The sequence below is a fragment of the Homo sapiens genome, chromosome 10, assembly GCF_000001405.40.
Source record: "Homo sapiens chromosome 10, GRCh38.p14 Primary Assembly".
NCBI classification, from domain to species: Eukaryota; Metazoa; Chordata; class Mammalia; order Primates; family Hominidae; genus Homo; species Homo sapiens.
Genome location: NC_000010.11, coordinates 119862189 through 119883473, shown reverse-complemented (window position 1 = coordinate 119883473; position 21285 = coordinate 119862189). Strand labels below are relative to the sequence as shown.

General features: G+C 44.3%; 1 protein-coding gene across 6 annotated transcripts in view, besides 4 other annotated features; it reads left to right on the top strand.

Annotated features, from left to right (window-relative positions):
- Positions 1-9892: 9892 nt before the first annotated feature.
- Positions 9893-21285, top strand: part of MCMBP (minichromosome maintenance complex binding protein) — a 44142-nt gene continuing 32749 nt past the window's right edge. For 4 of the 6 annotated variants that reach the window (XM_017016663.2, NM_001256378.2, XM_005270157.5 and 1 more), the window contains exon 1: positions 10631-10947. In XM_017016663.2, coding sequence (XP_016872152.1) covers positions 10890-10947 — 58 coding nt within the window. In that variant the 5' untranslated portion in view covers positions 10631-10889. Of the gene's footprint in view, positions 10044-10630; positions 10948-21285 lie in introns of those variants that run through there. The other 2 variants (NM_001256379.2, XM_011540170.2) reach the window with 1 other exon arrangement.
- Positions 10102-10271: an enhancer, noted in NCBI's record as "experimental_10275 CRE fragment used in MPRA reporter constructs". NCBI's record gives its function as "activates a minimal promoter by MPRAs in K562 erythroleukemia cells, with activity observed for both the introgressed and non-introgressed 10:121632800 variant alleles {active_cell/tissue: K562}" and the evidence as "EXISTENCE:reporter gene assay evidence [ECO:0000049][PMID:34662402]".
- Positions 10102-10296: a biological region, named in NCBI's record as "ATAC-STARR-seq lymphoblastoid active region 4133".
- Positions 10137-10296: an enhancer, noted in NCBI's record as "active region_4133". NCBI's record gives its function as "activates an Ori minimal core promoter by ATAC-STARR-seq in GM12878 lymphoblastoid cells {active_cell/tissue: GM12878}" and the evidence as "EXISTENCE:reporter gene assay evidence [ECO:0000049][PMID:35858748]".
- Positions 10527-11176: a silencer, noted in NCBI's record as "silent region_2884". NCBI's record gives its function as "represses an Ori minimal core promoter by ATAC-STARR-seq in GM12878 lymphoblastoid cells {active_cell/tissue: GM12878}" and the evidence as "EXISTENCE:reporter gene assay evidence [ECO:0000049][PMID:35858748]".

Genomic DNA, 21285 nt, shown 5'->3' with positions numbered 1-21285 from the left:
TCTAGTTGTTGCCATCCAAGTTAGCAGGAAGGGTCAAAGCAGTTGAGGGGCAAATATTTCATCTTAACAAGTGGGGCAGAAGTTGCATCCTTTCTGTTCACATTCCATTGATGAGAACTTCCACAAAAGGCATGTCTGGGTGCACGAAAAGCTGGTAAATACAGTCCCCACCTGGATAACTACATTCTAACTACATATAACTGTGGACGAAGAAGATTTGGTGGGGAATGACAATTGCCACCACAGTCTGCCCCTCTGGCTAGCATATTCCCACCCTTCCCAGACATAGAACATATGTCTATGTCCCTTCCCAAGGGAGGCAACCACCTATATCCAACGTAAAAGTCCAGGATCTTTGAGTGTAGCTCAGCCCTTTTGACTGTGTCCAAATGTGGCTCTTTATAGTCTAGTGAACCATGACTTTAAGATGCCCAATAGCCAATAGTGGAGCAAGAACAACGTAACTTCCATCAAGCCCCCACTGGAAAAAAGGAGAAATGGAAAACACAGCAATCACTTTCATAGAAATGATTGAATCCTGATAGGCATGAATTGGAAATACTCCCTGCTCTGACAGTGGAAAATTGTCATGGTTTGTCCAGCTGCCTCTTGTATATTAATAACTCCCTGGCCCCCTGGAAATAACTCCTAAGTCTACAGTCCTCTGAGGCACTGGCTTTGCTCTCTGGGAGTACTATGGTTTAGGTGTTTGTCCCTTCCAAATCTCATGTTGAAATGTGATTCCCAATATTGGAGGTGGGACCTGGTGGGAGGTGTTTGGGTCAGGGGCTCAGATCCCTCATGGATGTCTTGCACTTTGGTGCTGTCCTCACAATAATGAGTTTTCATTCTACGCTCAGGCAAGATCTGGTCATTTAAAAGAGTATGGCTGTAATCCCAGCACTTTGGGAGGCCGAGGTCAGGAGATCGCGACCATCCTGGCTAACAGTGAAACCCCGTCTCTACTAAAAATACAAAAAAATTAGCCGGGCATAGTGGCGGGTGCCTGTAGTCCCAGCTACTTGGGAGGCTGAGGCAGGAGAATGGCATGAACCTGGGAAGTGGAGCTTGCAGTGAGCTGAGATCGCACCACTGCACTCCAGCCTGGGCAACAGAGCGAGACTCTGTCTCAAAAAATAAAAATAAAAAATAAAATAAAAGAGTATGGTACCTGCGCCCCTCTCTCGCTTGCTCTCACTTTTGCAATGTGATGCACCTGCCCTCTCTTCACCTTCTGCCATGATTATGAGCTTCCTTTTTTCTTCTTTTTCTTTTTCTTTTTTTTTTTGAGACAGAGTCTCGCTCTGTCGCCCAGGCTGGAGTGCAGTGGTGCCATCTCAGCTCACTGCAAGCTCCGCCTCCTGGGTTCACGCCATTCTTCTGTCTCAGCCTCCCAAGTAGCTGGGACTACAGGTGCCCGTCACCACGCCCAGCTAATTTTTTTTTTTTTTTGTATTTTTAGTAGAGACAGGGTTTCACCATGTTAGCCAGGATGGTCGCGATCTCCTGACCTTGTGATCCGCCTGCCTCGGCCTCCCGAAGTGCTAGGATTACAGGCATGAGCCACCGCGCCTGGCTGATTGTGAGCTTCCTGAGGACCTCAACAGAAGCAGATGCCAGCACCATGCTTCCTGTACAGCCTGCAGAACCGTGAGCCAATTAAACCTCTTTTCTTCATAAATGACCCAACCTCAGGTATTTATAGCGACATAAAAAGCAGACGAACACAGGGAGATGTCTCCTGATCCATGATCTTCCTTGGCCATATCTAAAGTGGCATTAGGGGGTCAGGTGCAGTGGTTCACGCCTGTAATCCCAGTACTTTGGGAGGTCGAGGCAGGAGGATCACTTGAGCCCAGGCATTCAAGACCAGCCTGGGCAACATGGCAAGACCCTGTCTCTACTCAAATAAAATAAAATAAAGTAAGATAACCAGGCATGGTGGTGCATGCCTGTGGTCCCAGATACTCTGGAGACTGAAGCAGGAGGATCACTTGGGCCCAGGAGGTCAAAGCTGCTGTGAGCTGTGATTGCACCACTGCACTCCAGCCTAGGTGACACAGTGAGACCCTGTCTCAAAAAAAATTTTAAGTGGCATCAGAGCCAGGCATGGTGGCTCACACCTGTAATCCAACACTTTGGGAAGCCAAGGTGAGCAGATTATTTGAGGTCAGGGGTTCAAGACCAGCCTGGCCAACATGGTGAAACCCCATCTCTACTAAAAATACAAAAATTAGCTAGGTGTGGTGGCGCATGCCTGTAGTCCCAGCTACTCATGGCTGAGGCAGGAGAATTGCTTGAACCCAGGAGACGGAGGTTGCAGTGAGCTGAGATCATGCCACTGCACTCCAGCCTGGGCAACAGAGCAAGACTCCATCTCAAAAAAAAAAAAAAAAAAAAAAAGTGGCATCAGGAAGCATGTCTGTCTCTCTTTGGCAGTCCATTTCTTGCTGGTAAAAGTTTGAGGCCTAAGACTTGCTTTTGAGGCCTGCACAAGTTCCTAGCTTTTTTGCTTTTTTTCTTTCTTTTTTTCTGAAACAGGATCTTGCTGTGTCACCCAGGCTGCAGCACAGTGGCGTGATCACAGCTCACTGCAGTCTCAACCTCCCAGACCCAAGCGATCCTTTCACCTCCACCTCCTGAGTAGCTGGACCACATGCCTGGCTCATTTATTTTATTTTAATTTTTGTAGAGGTGAGATCTCCCTATGTTGCCTAGGCTGGACAGTTGCTGGCTTTTTCAGGCCCTGCTCCTGGTATTTTTATTTCCAGTCCATTCCGAATTCTTTACTTCCTTATCTGATTCAAGCTCATTTTTCAGCCTAACTGGGGGTTAACTTGAAGTGATTTGAAATAGCCTCCAGTAGGAGAGGACCATCCTTGATTTGAACTTTGCTGTAAGGCTGGATTCTTCTGATTACCCAAGAAGTCTCAAAGGACCCTTGAAAATAGTTTTCAGCAAAAATTTTACCTCCTGTGATTTGAATATTGAATTGATTAGCATTTCCAGTCCTGTAACGTTCTAACATCTCTTGTGCTGTCCAATCTGGTAGCCTCTAGCCACCCGTGTCTAGTGAGCACTAGAAATATGACTATCTGAAGTGAGAAGTGCTATAAGTATAAAATACATACAGAATTTCAAAGACTTCAGGGAACAAAGTAAAATATCATATTAATAATATTTGTATTGATTCTTTTTTCAAATTGTATTATTTTTGACATGCTGGGTTAAATATACTATAAAAACTAATTTATGGCTGGGCATGGTGGCTCACGCCTGTAATCCCAACACTTTGGGAGGCCGAGACGGGTGAATCACCTAGCCTCTACAAAAAATACAAAAATTAGCCAGGCGTGGTAGCACGTGCCTGTAATTGCAGCTACTCAGGAGGCTGAGGCAGGAGAATCACTTGAACCCGGGAGGTGGAGGTTGCAGTAAGCTAAGATCACACCACTACACTCCAGCCTGGGCAACGGAGTGAGACTCCATCTCAAAAAATAAAAAAATTAAAAATAATTTACCTATTTATTTTTACTTTTTAAAGTATGACTGCTGACAACTTTTAAATTACATACATGGCTTGCACAATATTTCTAAGCAAACTGCATATACAAACAGACAATGGTCAGATTATATTTAATTTTTATTTTTTTAGACAGGGTCTCAATCTGTCACCCAAGCTGAAGTGCAGTGGCACAATTACGGCTCACTGCAGCCTCAACCTCCTGGGTTCAAGTGATCCTCCCACCTCATCCCCAAGTAGCTGGGACTACAGGCACACACCAACTAATTTTCATATTATTGTTAGAGACAGGGTTTCACCACATTGCCCAGGCTGGTCTCGAACTCCTGGGTTCAAGCAATTCGCCCACCTTGGACTCCCAAAGTGCTGGGATTACAGGCAGGAGCCACTGTGCCCAGCAGTCAGGCTATAGTTAACAATAAAACTCTGACCCACAACCTCTGCAGCAATTAGACCAGATACGTTGTGACTCGGTCAATGAGTGCCATCTTCCCTATTTTTTGCCTACCCCCAAAAAACAGAAACAGTTCAGGAATCCCCCCTACCTTTTTGTGTTCTAAGACAGGGTTAATTGCAAAGGACCACTTTGCTCTTGCATATTCCAACATAAGACCTGCCTCCACCCTTCCACAATGATTCCTTTGTTTTTATAAAGCCCCAAATATTAACCCTCCTGTTTGAGATGCTCATGAATGAATGCTCTCCCGCTTGCAACAGCCTGAATCAAATCATCCCCTTATTTTTCTGGAGCATTCTGCTTTCATGTATCACCACCCACTATCTGACCACGAAATTAGAGCCACATTATTTTCTGTTTGTTATGATACCATCTCACTTCTGATACCAATTTCTGAACTAATAAGAGCAAATGCTGGCAGCTGTATAAAGAGACCTCAGACTGCAATGTTCACATAAAAATCCAAGGTGTCTTTAAGCAGGTCATTCTAGTCATCACCCTCCTATGCATCAGGAAGGAGGAAAAAACATGCAGGGCCAAATCTTTTTCCCCTAAAAAATGGAAGTTGGGCTGGGCACAGTGGCTCACATCTGTAATCCCAGCACTTTGGGAGGCCATGGCAGGAGAATTGCTTGAGCCCAGGAGTTTGAGACCAGTCTGGGCAACGTAAGGTGTTGTCACTATAAAAAAAGAAATAGAAGTGGGAGTTCCAAACATCTCACTCACTCAGAGTTCACTGGTAAGAACTTAATCACACAGCCTTATCTGGCTGCAAAGAAGTCTGGGAAATGTGGTTCCTTGCTAGGAAACCAACCTCAGCTACATCTCTATAGGTGAGAAATGCAGTTCTTCGCTGGGCAACCTATCTGTAACTATGGAAGAAGAGGAGAACAGTTTTTTTCTGAGGCCTCAATAAAAAGAAAAAAGAGGAAAAAAAGATAATCTTTAAGGTAATGGTGGTAGAAGATCCTAGGAAGACGATTTTGGACCAGAAGTAAAAGGCAGCAAGTCCAGATTGGAATAGGTCAAAAGACTCTGGAAAAGAGGTCCAAGAAAATGAAGTAGTGTGTCTAAATATCTGATGTGTCTAAATATCTAGAGATGATATTTAGGCAGTTTATAGAAAGTGGGCATTATTCATTCAGCAACTATTCATTGAGCATCTTTTATAAATCAGGTACTATTCTAGGTGCTGGGAAACAAAACATACAAATACCAAAATCATTGCTTCAGGGATCTTATAACCTAGTGGAAAATCTAGTTGGGATTGCATTTTTGATAAGTACACAGAAAACTAGCAAATGTTTACCCCATTTAGCGCAACCTGGAGGCAACTACTTTTACCTCTTTAAGCTGATTCTTTCAGTATTGCTATATTTCTAAATTAACATGATTCCATTGCTACTTGTAATTTTTCCTTTTTTCCTCCATTGTATTATCTGTTAATTTTTCAGAAGAAAGATTAGGATTTTTCTCTTTTTTATCTTCTTGGTCATCATCACATATGTGAGTCCTTCGCATCCCCCCAGCCTCCCAATATAGTTAACTATAAAGTTGGTTAGATCAATGTTCAAATTTTAACTTTATTGTGACTATGTAAACACTTTTAATAGCAAGTCATATACTAAATTGTAACTATTTTAGTTTTCCTGTACAAGTTTTTGTTTTTGCAGTCTTAAAGCTTAAAAATCTTTCCCCCACAATTTTCACCTAATTTACTGTTATTTATCTTTCAAATTCTAGTGTAAGTGTCACATTTTCAGAGAAGCCCTGAAGCATCCTTTTCTCCTACCCCACAATTCTTCCCCATTCTCTTGTTTTAGAGCATTTTGTGCTGCCATAACATTGCCACAGACTGGGTAATTTATAAAGAAAATTTATTGGCTGGGCGCGGTGGCTCACGCCTCTAATCCCAGCACTTTGGGAGGCTGAGGCAGGCGGATCACCTGGGATTAGGAGTTTGAGACCAGCCTAACCAACATGGAGAAACCCCGTCTCTACTGAAAACACAAAATTAGCCGGCCATGGTGGCACATGCCTGTAATCCCACCTACTCAGGAGGCTGAGGCAGGAGAATCGCTTGAACCTGGGAGGCGGAGGTTGCGGTGAGCCAAGATCGCGCCATTGCACTCCAGCCTGGGCAATAAGAGCCAAACTCTGTCTCAAAAATATATATAATAATAATAAATAAATAAATTTATTTCTCACAGTTCTGGAGGCTGGGAAGTTCAATATCAACATGCTGGCATCTGACAAGGGCTTTCTTGCTGCATCATCATAAGGCAAAGGGAAAAAGGGTGAGAGAAGGTGAAAGAGCATAAGCAAGAGCACGCATGTGTGTGAGTGTGTGTCTGTGCGTGCCTGCACACACGCGGAAGAAAGAGCCAAACTCACTTTTATAACCAACCCACTCCTGCAATAGTGACATTAATCCCTTCATAAGGGCCCTGCCCCTGCCCCTTAAAGTTCCTACCTCTCAACACTGTTGCATTGGGGATTAAGTTTCCAACACCCAAACTCTGGGGGACACATTCAACCCTTAGCATTCCCTCACTAGAACATATACACATCTGTTTATTCCTCTTATAAATATTCATCTATTCTTGCCTAGCACCTCTCGTGAGTAATTAGTAATAAGTCTTCTGCTAGACTGTATGTTCCATGAGGGCAGAGATGGAATCTCTTTTTTCACCCCATATTTCCAGTGCTCTCTCAGTAATTTTTTTGTTTGTTTTTGTTTTTTTGTTTGTTTTTGAGACGTAGTTTCACTCTGTCGCCCAGGCTAGAGTGCAGTGGCACGCTCTCGGCTCAATGCAACCTCCACCCCCAGGGTTCCCCCAATTCTCCCGCCTCAGCCTCCCAAGTATCTGGGACTACCAGCACGTGCCACCACGCCCAGCTAATTTTTTGTATTTTTTTTTAGTAGAGACGGGGTTTCACCATGTTAGCCAGGATGGTCTCGATCTCCTGACTTCGTGATCCGCCCGCCTCGGCCTCCTAAAGTGCTGGGATTACAGGCGTGAGCCACCGCGCCTGGCTGCTCTCTCAGTAATTTTTTATAGACAGAGTTACTTAATGCCCTCCATAAAAATACAGGCTCGCGGTCGGGGCAGAAGTGTGGTTACTGATAGTGGGAAAAAAGAAATCTTGCCATAGAAACAGACCTTCATGAACACTCCCCTGGCCTTTTACATTTTCATGACTACTTATTATTATTGTCATTGTTATTATTTTTAGAAATGGAGTGTTCCTCTGTCTCCCAGGCTGGAGTGCAGTGGTGCGATCATAGTTCACTGTAACCTCGAACTCCTGGGCTCAAGTGATCCTCCCACCTCAGTCTCCCAAGTATCTGAGACTACAAGTGCACACTACCTCCCCCAGCTCCATAACTACTTAGTATCAAAACGTCTTGCCACAGAAAAATCAGAGGGTTAAATTATTCACATTATAAAATAATTACATTTCAGAAGGATCACAGTGTCTCCTTAAGTAAAATCCGAGCAATTTTTTTTTTATAAATCACTAAATACTCTACCAAGGAAGAAACCAAAAGAAGTTTTCACAGAGATGGGATTCACGACTTGCTACCCCAAAATATGGCACCTTGGCATATTAAGTATTTTAAGCTGAAGGAATTTGAGAAATAGCACATGCAGGAAAGGCTCCCTGGCCTTCCCCTGAAGCAGATTATAAGACCCTGACATGAGAGCTGCCCTCCCTCTTCCTGGAGGACAGGAGCATCCTATCTTAAAGATGAAGGGACACGGAAAGGAATCTAATGCACAGGCCTTGCTAAATTTCCCCTAGTTTGCTGGACTTAGCTCACAACCTTTGTCCTATCACATTCTTCTATGACTCTCTTCATCAAACCTAGCATAAAAACACTTGGTTTTAACGCTTCTTTGGATCTTCATTTCCTTATGAAGGCTCCCATTTCTTGTAAAACGTGTATGAAATAAAGTGCATGCTTTTCTCTTGTTAATCTATCTTTTGTTACAGGGGGTCCAACGTAGAATCTAGAAGGGTAGACGGAAAAGATATTTTTCCTCCCTTACACTAGCCACTGCTGAATTGGTATCAAGCTGCAATTTAGATAAAGTAAATTTGAATTTACAGGGATTTAAGAGCAGACATTTCCATATCATACATTTAATTTGCCTGTTACTGGCCATGAAGCGAAAATATGGGATTTCCCCTTTTGATGCCAGGGTCTTGGCAACCCTGTCTCTTAAATGAATGAATGGAATGGTGGTAATGACCTGGATTTGAAACTCAAGTTTTCTCAACGTACCCAAACTCACAGGAACCAGATGTACAATTGAGTGTGTCAATTAATTACCTTACACTAAGAAATACAAACTATTCGTTTTTGCCCTGAAGTAAACCAGAATGTCACCCCAAAATGTGCCACTTTGGCATAAGGATTATTTTCATATTATTAATTTAATTATAATATTATTATCTTGGTAACTGAAAAGTAGATCCAGACAGTCCCCAACTTAACGGTGGTTTGACAAGATTTTTTGACTTTATGATGGTGTGAAAGCAACACCCATTCAGTAGAAACCATACTTCAATTACCCACACAGCCATTCTGTTTTTAAATTTCAGTACAGTATTCAATAAATTGCATGAGATATTCAACATTTTATTATAAAACGGGCTTTGTGTTAGATGCTTTTGCCCAACCGTAGGCTAATGTAAGTGTTCTGAGCATGTTTGCAGTAGCCTACTGATGTTTGATAGGTTCCGTGTATTAAACACATTTTCAACTAATGACATTTTATTTTTTTGAGACGGAGTCTCGCTCTGTCACCAGGCCGGAGTGCAGTGGCATGATCTTGGCTCACTGCAACCTCCGCCTCCCGGGTTCAAGTGATTCTCCTGCCTCAGCCTCCAGAGTAGCTGGGACTACAGGCGTGCGCCACCAGGCCCAGCTAATTTTTGTATTTTTAGTAGAGATGGGGATTCACCATGTTGGCCAGGATGGTCTCCATTTCTTGACCTCATGATCCGCCCGCCTTGGCCTCCCAGAGTATTGGGATTACAGGAGTGAGGCTCCACGCTGGGCCTCAACTAATGATATTTTCAATTTACAATGGGTTTATTGGGATGTAACTCCATCCTAAGTAGAGTAAGTAGAGGAGCATCTGTACAAAACAAGCTCCCTACCCTTCCACTATGTACCTAAGAGCAGGACATACATTTTCAAAGGTGTCCCACCTCCTCTTTCTACCAGGGACAAAAGTTAGTCACCAGAGACAACTTTAGACCCTTATCAGCCAGCGATGGCGCTAGAAGAACCTACATAACACACTTTACTCACTACCTGTAACTACCATTAGTTTCTCGTATCTCTGCCTTCCCACTCTGCTGTTTTTGGAAACTTCAAACTGCTTTCGCCATTTCTCCCCAGTTATTGTTCTTTATTGTAAATGCTACGTAATTCCCCCATTCTAAGCCACCTGTTTGAGTTACTCTTCCTTGAGTTTTGCCCATATAAGATGTACATGTTACTAAATTTTTCTTTTGCCAATCCGAGCTTTGTGATAAGGGCCGCAGTGGAGAACCTAGAAAGGTAGAAAGATTTTCCCCCCTTCCTACAGCCCCAAGGAGGGTTTGAGACACGGGTTCCGTTTTTTTCCTTCAGCTCCTCACTTTGTAGATTCCATTCAGGTCATTCCCCTTCCGTCACCATGCCCTTTTTTCATTGAGTAGATATATCTGATGGGCCTGGGGTTTTCTTAGGTACATTTCAGGCCCAGGGGAGACACAGTTTCATTCTTTTTTTCTTTTTTATCGGACAGCCTCCTGAACCAGAAGAGGTTCAGAGCGACTCCCACAGTTTCACTCTTGAACTTGGGTATTTTCCAAATTGCCTCAGCAAAAGGCTGCTGTAGTCGGTCTTCGTAGCTTCCTTCTCCAGGGTATCCTAGCGGCGCGCAGTGCAGGAGCCTCGCACCGCTCCCCGACGGCGGCTGCCAGCTTCCAGACAGACGCCGACCCGGTGTTCGCAACCAGGGCGCAGGCCGGGCCCGGAGCGTTTAGAGCGCCCGCCCCTCGGTAAGGAACCGTCCCTGAGCCACAGGGCCTGACGCGACTGCAGAAGGAGCGTGGGGTCCTCCGAGGTTCCCCTTCTCTAAATGTGCACCTTCCTCAGGGAGACCTTGTGCAGCTGAGGGAAAAGTCACCACTCAGGGTTTCGGGCCGGGGACCCAAATAAAAGTGCTGCCATCAGCAAAAAAAGAAAAAAAAGGCACGAAGAGGAGGTGGGCGGATTCCCAAGGCGGTTTCGCCCACTAATTTTGCCCAGAGATGACTCTGAGGTCTCTGAGCTTAATGCTTTTCAGCTGTTGTGCAGACTCGCTTTGCCCTCTTATAAGCCCACTATGGGAGTTCCCGCTACACGCCGGCCCAGGGGTACAAACGACAACGCGCCGCCCTTGGAGCGCGTCGCCGGGCCCCGCGCTGCGCAGCCTCCAGCGGCGCTGCGTGCCCTTCCTTTTGCCCGTCTCCAAGATGGCGGCGCCGCCGCCGCCCCTCCTCCTCGCCGCGCAGAGCCGCGCTGCGCCGCGCGCTCCCGCCGCCCCTCCCCACGCGAGCTCCACCCAGGTCGCAGGCAGCGCGGTCGGCGGCGGCTATTTCCCGCCATTGTGCGAAGTGAAGGCTAGGGGCCCGTACGCGCCCGCCTGACTGTCGCCAGCAGCTCCTCGGCGGCCCCACCGCAGCCGCCGCTCCCTGAGGCGCGGGAGGCCCGCGCCCCGCGGCTCGCTGTGCGTGGGAGGGCGCGAGCGAACGCGGGCGAGGAGCGGCCGAGCCGCTGAAGAGGAGCTGGGCGCCGGCCGCCCGGCCGCGCTCGGCCCGCGGATCGCCTCCGCCCGGTCTTCGCCGGCCCCGGCCCCTGGCGAGATGCCGTGTGGGGAGGATTGGCTCAGCCACCCGCTGGGAATCGTGCAGGGATTCTTCGGTGAGTGGCGGCGCCGGGGGGCGGGCCGGGCGGGCAGCCGAGTTTGCCGGGCCCCGGGGCAGGGCCCCGCCGCGCGGCCCCCACGCGGTACCATCTCGAGGGCTCGCGTGGCCCGAGACGGGGCCCCGGGGCCTGCACCGGCCCCAGCTGGGACAGCCTCTCCCCCGGTCGCAGCAGGCAGGGGCAGGAGCCGGGCCGCAGGTACCTCCCACCTGCCCGAGTCGCAGCTTGGGAGCCGCCAAGGTGAAGTCGTGGGGCGCGGGCTGTGATTCGCGGGCTGTGATTGACGGCCTCGCTCCCAGCCTGTGGCAGGGCCAGGGCCCCGGCCCCGGGCGCAGCAAACTCGGAGGTCCTCGAACCCTGGGGAGGGCCCGCAGAGCCGCGGGGAGGGAAAACCACTTTGCCTGTGGGAAGCCCACAGGATATTTCAAAACTTCCGGTGCGTCGGGGAGTGCTCGCTTGCACAGAAGTTGGTTCTAACTCCTGTGCTACCCTCATTCTCTCTTTCAGAGATAAGATTTAATGTTCATAGCTTAGTTTTCCTGTTGGGATGACTTTAGAACCCATCTAGTCTGGATCTGCTCCTGTGCCAGAGCCAGCAAGAAATATTGAGCTACTTGAGTTTGTACACAGGGCTGAGAATCCTGCAGGCGAGCTTAGTAAATTTTGGTTGCGATTGCTGTTGCTACTTTACTGCGAAGGGTATACGAAGAAAAGTTTATATTTGTTGTCGTTAACTGGGCATTTTGACAACCGTTCCATTCCCCAGTGTCTTTTTACACGTAATGAGTGGCGGAGTCAGATCCAGCTAGAAATCACTGTAGATGGCAACACCTGACTTGTCTGGAGTTAACTTAGAGTTGTAGAGCGGCCTTAGCTCATTGAAAAAAACATCTTGGGGTACTAGAGAGAAAAGGCAGTGGGAAGCTAAATCATCCTCAGCAGCCAAAATCGACGGCAAACAATGTATGGTATTTCTTATAGGAGGGCCTCTAGTGCTTACTCAGGAAGTCCTTATTAATTTACCTGTAATTCTAATTAGTTTAGTTACCTGGCTTCCCAGGCTGTAACTAATGGCATTATATTAGAAAAAAGCCTGGATAGACGTCCGAACTTAGCCAGTGAACACTGACAGCCTGATGAAGAAATTTAAAACTACCTTCATACTTGAAAAAAAAAAAAATTCACTATATAGCAGTCAAGGGTGCTTTGAGGAAGGGGCATATATTTCTCCACTAAATCCTAGTAATTTATGTTCATAAGAATTCTAGAAATGATAATCGATGGTCAACACAATGGCCCCAAAATGTCAAGTGAAGATTCAATTGTAGCATTGGTTTAAGAGGGTGCAGATGCATAGATACTTTTTAGGAAAAATCCCTCCAAAGTAAAAAGGTTTGGTGCTTAAAGGGTTAAATTTCAGTTACTAATATTAGAAAGTTTATTTATTAGAAATACCCCATACTCTGATTTTGCTGGATAAATGAGATGATTTCATATTTGATAGAGATTTGAATGTATTTGTGTCAAATTTTGTCTTCTAAATGTATGATCCTAAGGGACACATCTCATCATAGTACAGGAAGGATGTAACTTAGATATAAAATAATAGCTTCAGAGTATTTTATAAATTATGTGGATTGTTGTGGGAACCTGAGAAGTTTCTTGATGTGTTTCTCCCCAGAATGTCTTGTTCCCGTGTACGTTGTGTCTTATAGAAAAGTCATAATGTGTTCGTAGAAGCTGTTGCTATATTTTCGTATCACTGTGATTGTATTGCATATCTTTATTATAACAGCATTACAAGTATGTTTGTGTGATAACTTATAGGCACTTTTTGGTTTAGTAGGAAATTGTTTTCCCCCCAGATAGGTAATGCATATGCATTGTACAGAAAGAAAAAAGCAGTTCAGCAACATATAGCAGAAAAGGAAAGATCTTTGAAGATCCTTCACCTTCAAGATAACCACTGGTTCGTGGTTGTGTAGTTTATTTTCTCTGCATATATTTAGACAGTTTTTTTAAACTGAAAAGTTAAGTTTTGTTGTGTATTTTATTTTGAAATATGCATTTTTTTTTTTTGAGACAGTCTCGCACTGTCACCCAGGCTGGAGTGCAGTAGCGCAATCTCGGCTCACTGCAACCTCCGCCTCCTGGGTTGAAGCGATTCTCCTGCCCCAGCCTCCGGAGTAGCTGAGACTATAGGCCCGCGCCACCACGCCCGGCTAATTTTTGTATTTTTAGTAGAGACGGGGTTTCACAGTGTTGGCCAGGATGGTCTAGATCTCTTGACCTCGTGATCCGCCCGCCTCGGCCTCTCAAAGTGCTGGGATTACAGGCGTGAGCCACTGCATCCAGCAGCCTGAATTTTTCCCTTTCTTACTGTCCTTGTCATATAGTATTGTATAAACTTATTAACCCTGTCATATATTTTAAGTTAGGTGTCACAATAATCTAGAGTGTGCTGTCCAGGGCAGTAGCCATGTGTGGCTATTTAAATGTAAATTAATTAAAATTACACAAAATTAAAAATTCACCTCCTCGGTGTTAGCACATTTCAAGTGCTCAGTAGCTACATGTGGATAGGGGCTATTATATTAGCACAGATCTAGCATATTCCTAACATCAGGAAGTTCTCTGTACAGCACTGATCTAGAGGACACCGCTTTTTAGTATGTGATGCTAGTTTTTTTGGATAACCAGCTACTCACTGACTCTCTTTCAGGATCTGAATTTGGTCACTGTATCTTATCCGTTCTAGGGGTTTTGTTTTTGTTTTTGCTTTTTTTGTTTTTGAGATGGAGTTTCGTTCTTGTCACCCAGGCTGGAGTGCAACAGTGTGATCTCGGCTCACTGCAACCTCCTCCTCCCAGGTTCAAGCAATTCTGCCTCAGCCTCTGGAGTAGCTGGGATTACAAGTGCCTGCCACCATGCCCAGCTAATTTTTTTTTTTTTGAGACTGAGTCTTGCTCTGTCACTCAGGCTAGGGCGCAGTGTTACAATCTTGGCTCACTGCAGCCTCTGCCTCTTGGGTTCAAGTGATTCTCCTGCCTCAGCCCCCTGAGTAGCTGGGATTACAGGTGCATGCCACCATGCCCAGCTAATTTTTGTATTTTTAGTAAAGACAGGGTTTCACCATGTTGGCCAGGCTGGTCTTGAACTCCTGACCTAGTGATCCGCCCACCTTGGCCTCCCAAAGTGCTGGGATTGTAGGCGTGAGCCACCACACCGAGCCGCTAATTTTTGTATTTTTAGTAGAGACAGGATTTCACCATGTTAGCAAGGCTGGTCTCGAACAGGTGATCTGCCTGCCTCGGCCTCTCAAAGTGCTGGGATTATAGGCGTGAGCCACCGCGCCCGACCCAGACCCTCATCTCCAATGCTACTGTCAAAATTAAAGCCATCGTAGTCTCTTTCCTGGACGCTGGAACAGCCCTCTAACTGGTTTCTTGCCTCCAGTCTTGCTTCTCTTCCACCTGCCATACTGGAACCAAGTCCTTCAGTGACTTCTTGTTACCCTTACTATCTGATCCAGGACTTTTAAAGTGGTTTATGAGGCCCTTGTTGGCTCCACCCTTGCCTTGCTCTGAGACTTTATCACTGCGTACCCCCTCCTCATACTCCATCCCAGCCGCACTGAACCTTTTTTCAGTTCTTTAATTTTGAACCTGTGTCTAGGCCTTTTTGCATCTGCTGATTTCTTGTGCCTGATTCCCCCTCCCATCCCATGTCCACTTTTCTGGCTAAGTCTTACTTTTCCTTTGGGAACTTAAGTTAGGTACCAAAGTAGGGTACCCCTGCTCCATGTTACTGCAGGATCCTATTATATATGTCTTTGAAAAATAGTGTGTAAAGTGCATTGTTGAAATTCCTTGTTTCGGAAGTTCCTTTGCTGGATTTTGACCCCGCGAATTCAGGGCCCCTGTATCTGCATTATTCACCACTGTATCCTAATTTCTTAGAATTTGCCTTGTACATTGAAAGTGCTCAGTGGACACTTGTTGAACAAAAGCAGTGAAAAGACTGATTAATCAGAAATGTTGTTAATTGAAATGGCTAGTGAGATCACAAATCTCAAAATTTTTCTTTTCTTTTTTTCTGGAGTCAGTGTCTTGCTCTGTTGCCCAGGGTGGAGTGCAGTGGCGTGATCTCGGCTCACTGCAACCTCCGCCTTCTGGGTTCAAGCCATTCTCATGCCTCAGCCTCTCGAGTAGCTGGGATTAAAAGTGTGCACCACCATGCCTGGCTAATTTTTCTATTTTTAATAGAGACAGGGTTTTGCCATGTTGGCCAGGCTGGTCTTGAACTCCTGGCCTCAAGTGATCTGCCCCCACTTGGCCTCCCAGAGTGCTGAGATCTCAGGTGTGAGCTGCTGCGCCCAGCCTCTTTAGCTGTTTTCCCTTCAACTATTGGTTAGACCAAGATCATTATTCTCGTTATATTTAAGCTTCTTTGGTTGTATCTAACAGAACTAGACTAGCTCATGCAAAAAAGAGCAGGGTTGGGTGAAGAGGGGCAGAGCAGACTATTTTATCACTAGCATTTTAGAGAATTTAAAGCAATAATAAAATGAACTAAAAGTTAGTTGGTCTGCTTTTTATTATCACCATGAATCTAAACAGACAATCTGTGCCCTTATTGTCTGTACCCAGCTTGGACCTCTTCTACCACTCTGTCCTTGGTAGGCCACTGAAAAAAGTTAATTTATATTAAGGCTATAAAACCCAAGAACAGGGGAAGTGGTTGGGTATTCGAAGAGACTGAGTGGAATCAGGAACTGGAAAGCTAGCAGGAATCCAAGCAACTCAGTATTTCTTCTCTTGGGATACATTAATCTCTGCACACTTTCTCTTTCTCTACTCCATGTCTCCCAAATTTACTTGTTCTCGGTTCCAACCCACGCTAGCTAGCATCTTTATTTTCAGGCATAGAAAATCTGATTGGCACAACATGGAGTCAGGAATCCATTCACTCAGGGATCAGTCATCTGTGGCCATGGCACAGAGTTAGGTAGGACAATCGTGACTGTTATCCACACCTCAACATTGGGGGCGTTCTCAAAGAAGAAGAATAGCTCCGGCAGCCATGGCAGATGGCATACGTAGGAGTTTTTAAGTTATAATAACTTACACATGGTTTTAAAAAAAATCAACATGATGGTATGAACTGAGTGAAAGTACGTGCTCCCTCCATTGAAGTAACCACTTTTTTTTTTTTTTTTTTTTTTTTTTTTTGAGATGGAGTCTCGCTCTGTCGCCCAGGCTGGAGGGCAGTGGTGCGATTTCGGCTCACTGCAACCTCTCCCTCCCAGGTTCAAGCGATTCTCATGCCTCAGCCTCTTGAGTAGCTGGGACTACAGGCGACCACCACCACACCTGGCTAATTTTTGCATTTTTAGTAGAGTCGGGGCTTCACCGTGTTGGCCAGGATGGTCTCGACCTCCTCTGCCCTCGTGATCCACCACCCTCGGCCTCCCAAAGTGCTGGGATTAGAGGCATGAGCCACCGTGCCCTGCCTGAAGTAACCGCTTTTAACTGTTTTTGCTTTTAGAGGTTTTTTTCTTTGAGACAGAGTCTCGCTCTGTCACCCAGGCTAGAGTGCAGTGGCACGATCTCTGCTCACTGCAACCTCTACCTCCCAGGTTCAAGCAGTTCTACTGCCTCAGCCTCCCGAGTAGTTGGGACTACAGGCGCCTGCCACCACACCCAGCTAACTTTTTGTATTTTCGTAGAGATGGTGTTTCACTATGTTGCTCAGGCTGGTCCAAAAAAATTTTTTTTCTTTGAAATAAAATTCACATAACAAAATTTAACATTTTAAAATGTACAATTGAATTTTTTTTACTGTATTCATAATGATGTTGTGCAACCATCACCACCACTATCTTTTTCTCTTTTTTTTGAGACGGAGTCTCACTCTGTTGCCCAGGCTGGAGTGCAGTGGTGCAAACTTGGCTCACTGCAACCTCTGCTTACCGGGTTCAAGCGATTCTCTTGCCTCAGCCTCCCAAGTAGCTGGGATCACAAGCATGCACCACCATTCCTGGCTAATTTTTGTATTTTTAGTAGAGACGGAGTTTTACCATGTTGGTCAGGCTGCTCTTGAACTCCTGATCTCAGGTGATCCACACGCCTCGGCCTCCCAAAGTGTTGGGATTACAGGCATGAGCCACCACGCCCGGCCACCCCTATCATTTTCATCACTCCAAAAAGAAACCCCATACCTTTAGTAGTCTCTCCCATTTCTTCTGTCTTCCATCTCTGGCAACAACTATACTTCTGCCCATGGATTTACCTATTCTGGACGTTTCGTGTAGGTGGAATTATACAACATGTGGCCTTTGAGGTCTGGCTTCTTTTCATTTACCATGATATTTTCATGGTTCATCCATGTCATAGTATGCATCAGTACTGCATTCCTTTTTTTTTTTTTTTTAAGAGATAGAGCCTGGCTCTGTCGTCCAGGCTGGAATGCTGTGTGGCAAGATCATGGTTCACCGCAGCCTTGAACTTCCAGTCTCAAGTGATCCTGCAGCCTCAGCTTCCTGAGTAGCTGGGACTACAGGCATGTATTACCTGTATTACCACACCCAGCTAATTTTTAAATCATTTTTTGTAGATTTGGGGTCTCACTATGTTGCCCAGGCTACACTCAAACTCCTGGCCTCAAGTGACCCTCCCGCCTCGGCCTCCCAAAGTGCTGGGATTACAGATGTGAGCCACTGTACCCAGTCTGCATTCCTTTTTATGGCTGAAAATAACATTCCATTGTATGTCTATACTGCATTTTGTTTATCCATATATTTGCTGATGGACACTTAGGTTATTTCCTGGCTGTTATAAATACTGCTACTATAAACATTCATGTACAAGTTTTTGTGTGAATGTAAGCTTTTTGGTTCTTTCCCAGATATACCTAGGGATGGAATTGCAAGGTCATATGATAATTTTATATTTAACTTTTTGAGGAATTGCCAAACTTTTCCACAGTGGCTGCACCATTTTACTTCCCAGGTTCAAGCAATTCTCCTGCCTCAGCCTCCCAAGTAGCTGGGATTACAGGTACCACCAGCAAGCCCAGCTAACTTTTGTATTTTTAGTAGAGATGAGGTTTCACCATGTTGGCCAGGCTGGTCTCAAACTACTGATCTCAGGTAATCTGCCTGCCTTGGCCTCCCTAAGTGCTGGGATTACGGGCATAAGCCACTACGCCTGGCCTAAAATGTTTTTAAGAAAGGTTGTGTGAGAAGAGAACAAGAGGCACATTATATAATGTTAAAACAGTCAGTTCACCAAGAAGACCTAACTATATATGCACCAAGCAACAGAGCTTCAAAATGTATGATGCAAAAACCAGCAGAAATAAAAGAAGAAATAGGCAAATCTGCAATTGTAGTTAGATATTTTACTACTCCTCTCTCAGTACTTGACAGAATAGTGGGTAGAAAATCAAAAAGAATACTGAACAACACAAAACTACACAACACTGTCAACCAAGTAGATCTAATTGACATTTGTTTACCTAATGACAGCAGAATACACATTCTTTTCAAGTGCACATGTAAATTCACCAAGATAAACCACATTCTGGGTCATAAACCAAATAGTAAACTTTATATATAAGAAGAACACTTCTAAACAATCCATGGATTAAAAACTCTCAAAGGAAAGCTTTGAATATTGTGAACTAAACCAAAATGAAAACTCAACATACCAAAATTTGTGGGATACAGCCAAAGACATGCTTAGATGCATTAGCTGCCTTAATTAGAAGAGAAGGTCTCAAGTGAATAATTTAAGCTTCCACCTATGAAACTAGAAATGAAGAGCAAAATAAACCCAAATTAAACAGAAGAAAGAAATAATAGAGAACAAAAATCCATGAAATAGAAAACAGAAAAAAAAGAAAAAATCAGTGAAACTCAAAGCTCTTTAAAAAAAAAATCAATAAAATTGTAAACCTCTAGCCATACTGGCAAAGGAAAAAAAAAAAGGAAAACAAATTACCAATAGTAGAAAAGAAAAAAAGGAAGACAAATTACCAATATTAGAAAAGAAAGAGGAGATAACCACCGTAGACTGTACAGGCATGAAAAGGATAATACAAACAGCTCTACAGATAGAAATTCATCAACTTAGATGAAATGGACCAGTTCCTCAAAAACCACTGTATTAGCTTTCTATTTCTCCTGTAATAAATTACAAATGTAGTGACTTTAAAACAAAAGGTTTTTATTTACAGTCCTGGAGACAGAAGTCTGACATGGGTCTTACTGGGATAAAATCAAATTGTTGACAGGACTTGCATTCCATTGTGGAGGCTTTAGGAGAGAATCTGTTCCTTTTCTTTTCCTGCATCTAGAGTCTGCCCACATTTCTTGGCTTGTGGCCCCCTTCCGTTTTCAAAGACAACAAGTCGAGTTGTTCTCACATCTTACTCTAACTTCCTCTTTTGCCACATCCTTCCACATTTAAGGACCGTTGTGATTACATTGAACCCACCCAGATTGTTTTTTTTTTTAAGTTCAACTGATTATTAACCTTAATTCCATCTGCTACCTTAATTCCTATGTAACATATCTTTACAAGTTCTGGGGATTAGAACATCAGTATCTTGGTTGGGTGGGAGGGGGTCATTATTCTGCTGATCACAGCCACAAACTATCCAAACTCACCCAAGTAGAATAATATTTCACCTTTTACGTCTGGCTTATCTCACTTAGCATAATGTTTTCAAGGTTTATTCCTGTGTCTTCGTTGCTTTTTTTTTTTTTTTTTTTTTTTTTTTTTTTTTTTTTTGAGTCTGAGCCTCACTCTGTCTCCCAGGCTGGAGTGCAGTGGTGCGATCTCAGCTCACTGAAACCTCCGCCTCCTGGGTTCAAGCAATTCTCCTGTCTCACCCTCCCGAGTAGCTGGGATTACAGGCGTGTGCCACCACGCCCGGCTAATTTTTGTATTTTTAGTAGAGACGGGGGTTTGCCATGTTGGCCAGGCTGGTCTTGAACTCCTGACAGGTGATCCGCCCGCCTCGGCCTCCCAAAGTGCTGGGATTACAGGCGTGAGCCACCCCGCCTGGCCCTCGCTGCATTTTAATAAAGATACAAAAGCTAATTCAAATGGAAAAAGGATATTCTTTTCATCAAAGACATGAACAATTTAACATTTACATGGAAAAATAAAATCCTCAACCTTTACCTCATATTTTATATAAAATTAACTCAAAATGGATCATACATCTGAGTATAAAACCTGAAACTATAAAACTTTTAGAAGAAAACAGATCTTTGTGACCTGGGGTTTGGCAATGAGTTCTTAAGACATGACACCGAAGGCACAGTGCGTAAAACAAAAATTTGATAAATTGGGCTTCATCAAAATTAAAAACCTTTGTTCTGTAAAAAAAAATTCTATTAGGAGCATGAAAAGACAAGCTATACACTGGGAGAATATATTTGAAAATCCGGTATCAGAAAAAGAACTTGAATCCAGAATATATAAGAAAACACAGCAGTAATTTAAAAACTCAATTTTAAAAGGGGCAAAAGATTTAAGTAGGCTTAAATAGACATTTCACCAGATAGGATACAAGGATGGCAAATATCCCCCTGAGAAGAGTTCAGCATTGTTAGCCATTAGGGAAATGCAAATTTAAGCCATGATATTGCATATTAGAACAGCTAAAATTTAAAAATACATAGTGATAGTACTAAGTACTGGCAAGGATGGGAACAGCTGGATCTCTTAGCAAAATGGTGCAGCCACTCTGGAAGACAGGTAGAATCTTAATCATACATTTACCATGTACTCAACTGTGTCATATCTAGATACTCATTCTAGAGAAATGAAAGCTCATGTTCACATGAAAACCTGCAGACACGTGTTTTATAGTTTTGTTTATAGTTGTCAAACCTGAAGACAATCTAAATGTCCTTCAGCAAGCAAATACATAAACAAATTGGTTGTTATTCAGAGGAATAATAGGAATAAAAAGAAATGAAGTATTGATATACAAATGTGTTGGGGAGTCCTATAACCACCCATATGCTTGAAGATTTACTAGGACTTATATGATTCACTGTATAGTTGTACTCCTCCTAAGATTTATTGCAGCAATATGGTAAGGATACATAGTTGGATCCTAAGGACACACATGGAGTCTGGAGGAATCCAGTGTCTTGATAATTTTTTCTTTTTGCGTGGTGGAGGAGGTGGTGTGGGGGGGGACGAAGATTCACTCTAGTCGCCCAGGCTGGAGTGCAATGGGGCAATCTTGGCCCACTGCAACCTCCACCTCCCAGGTTCAAGCGATTCTCCTGCCTCAGCCTCCCAAGTAGCTGGG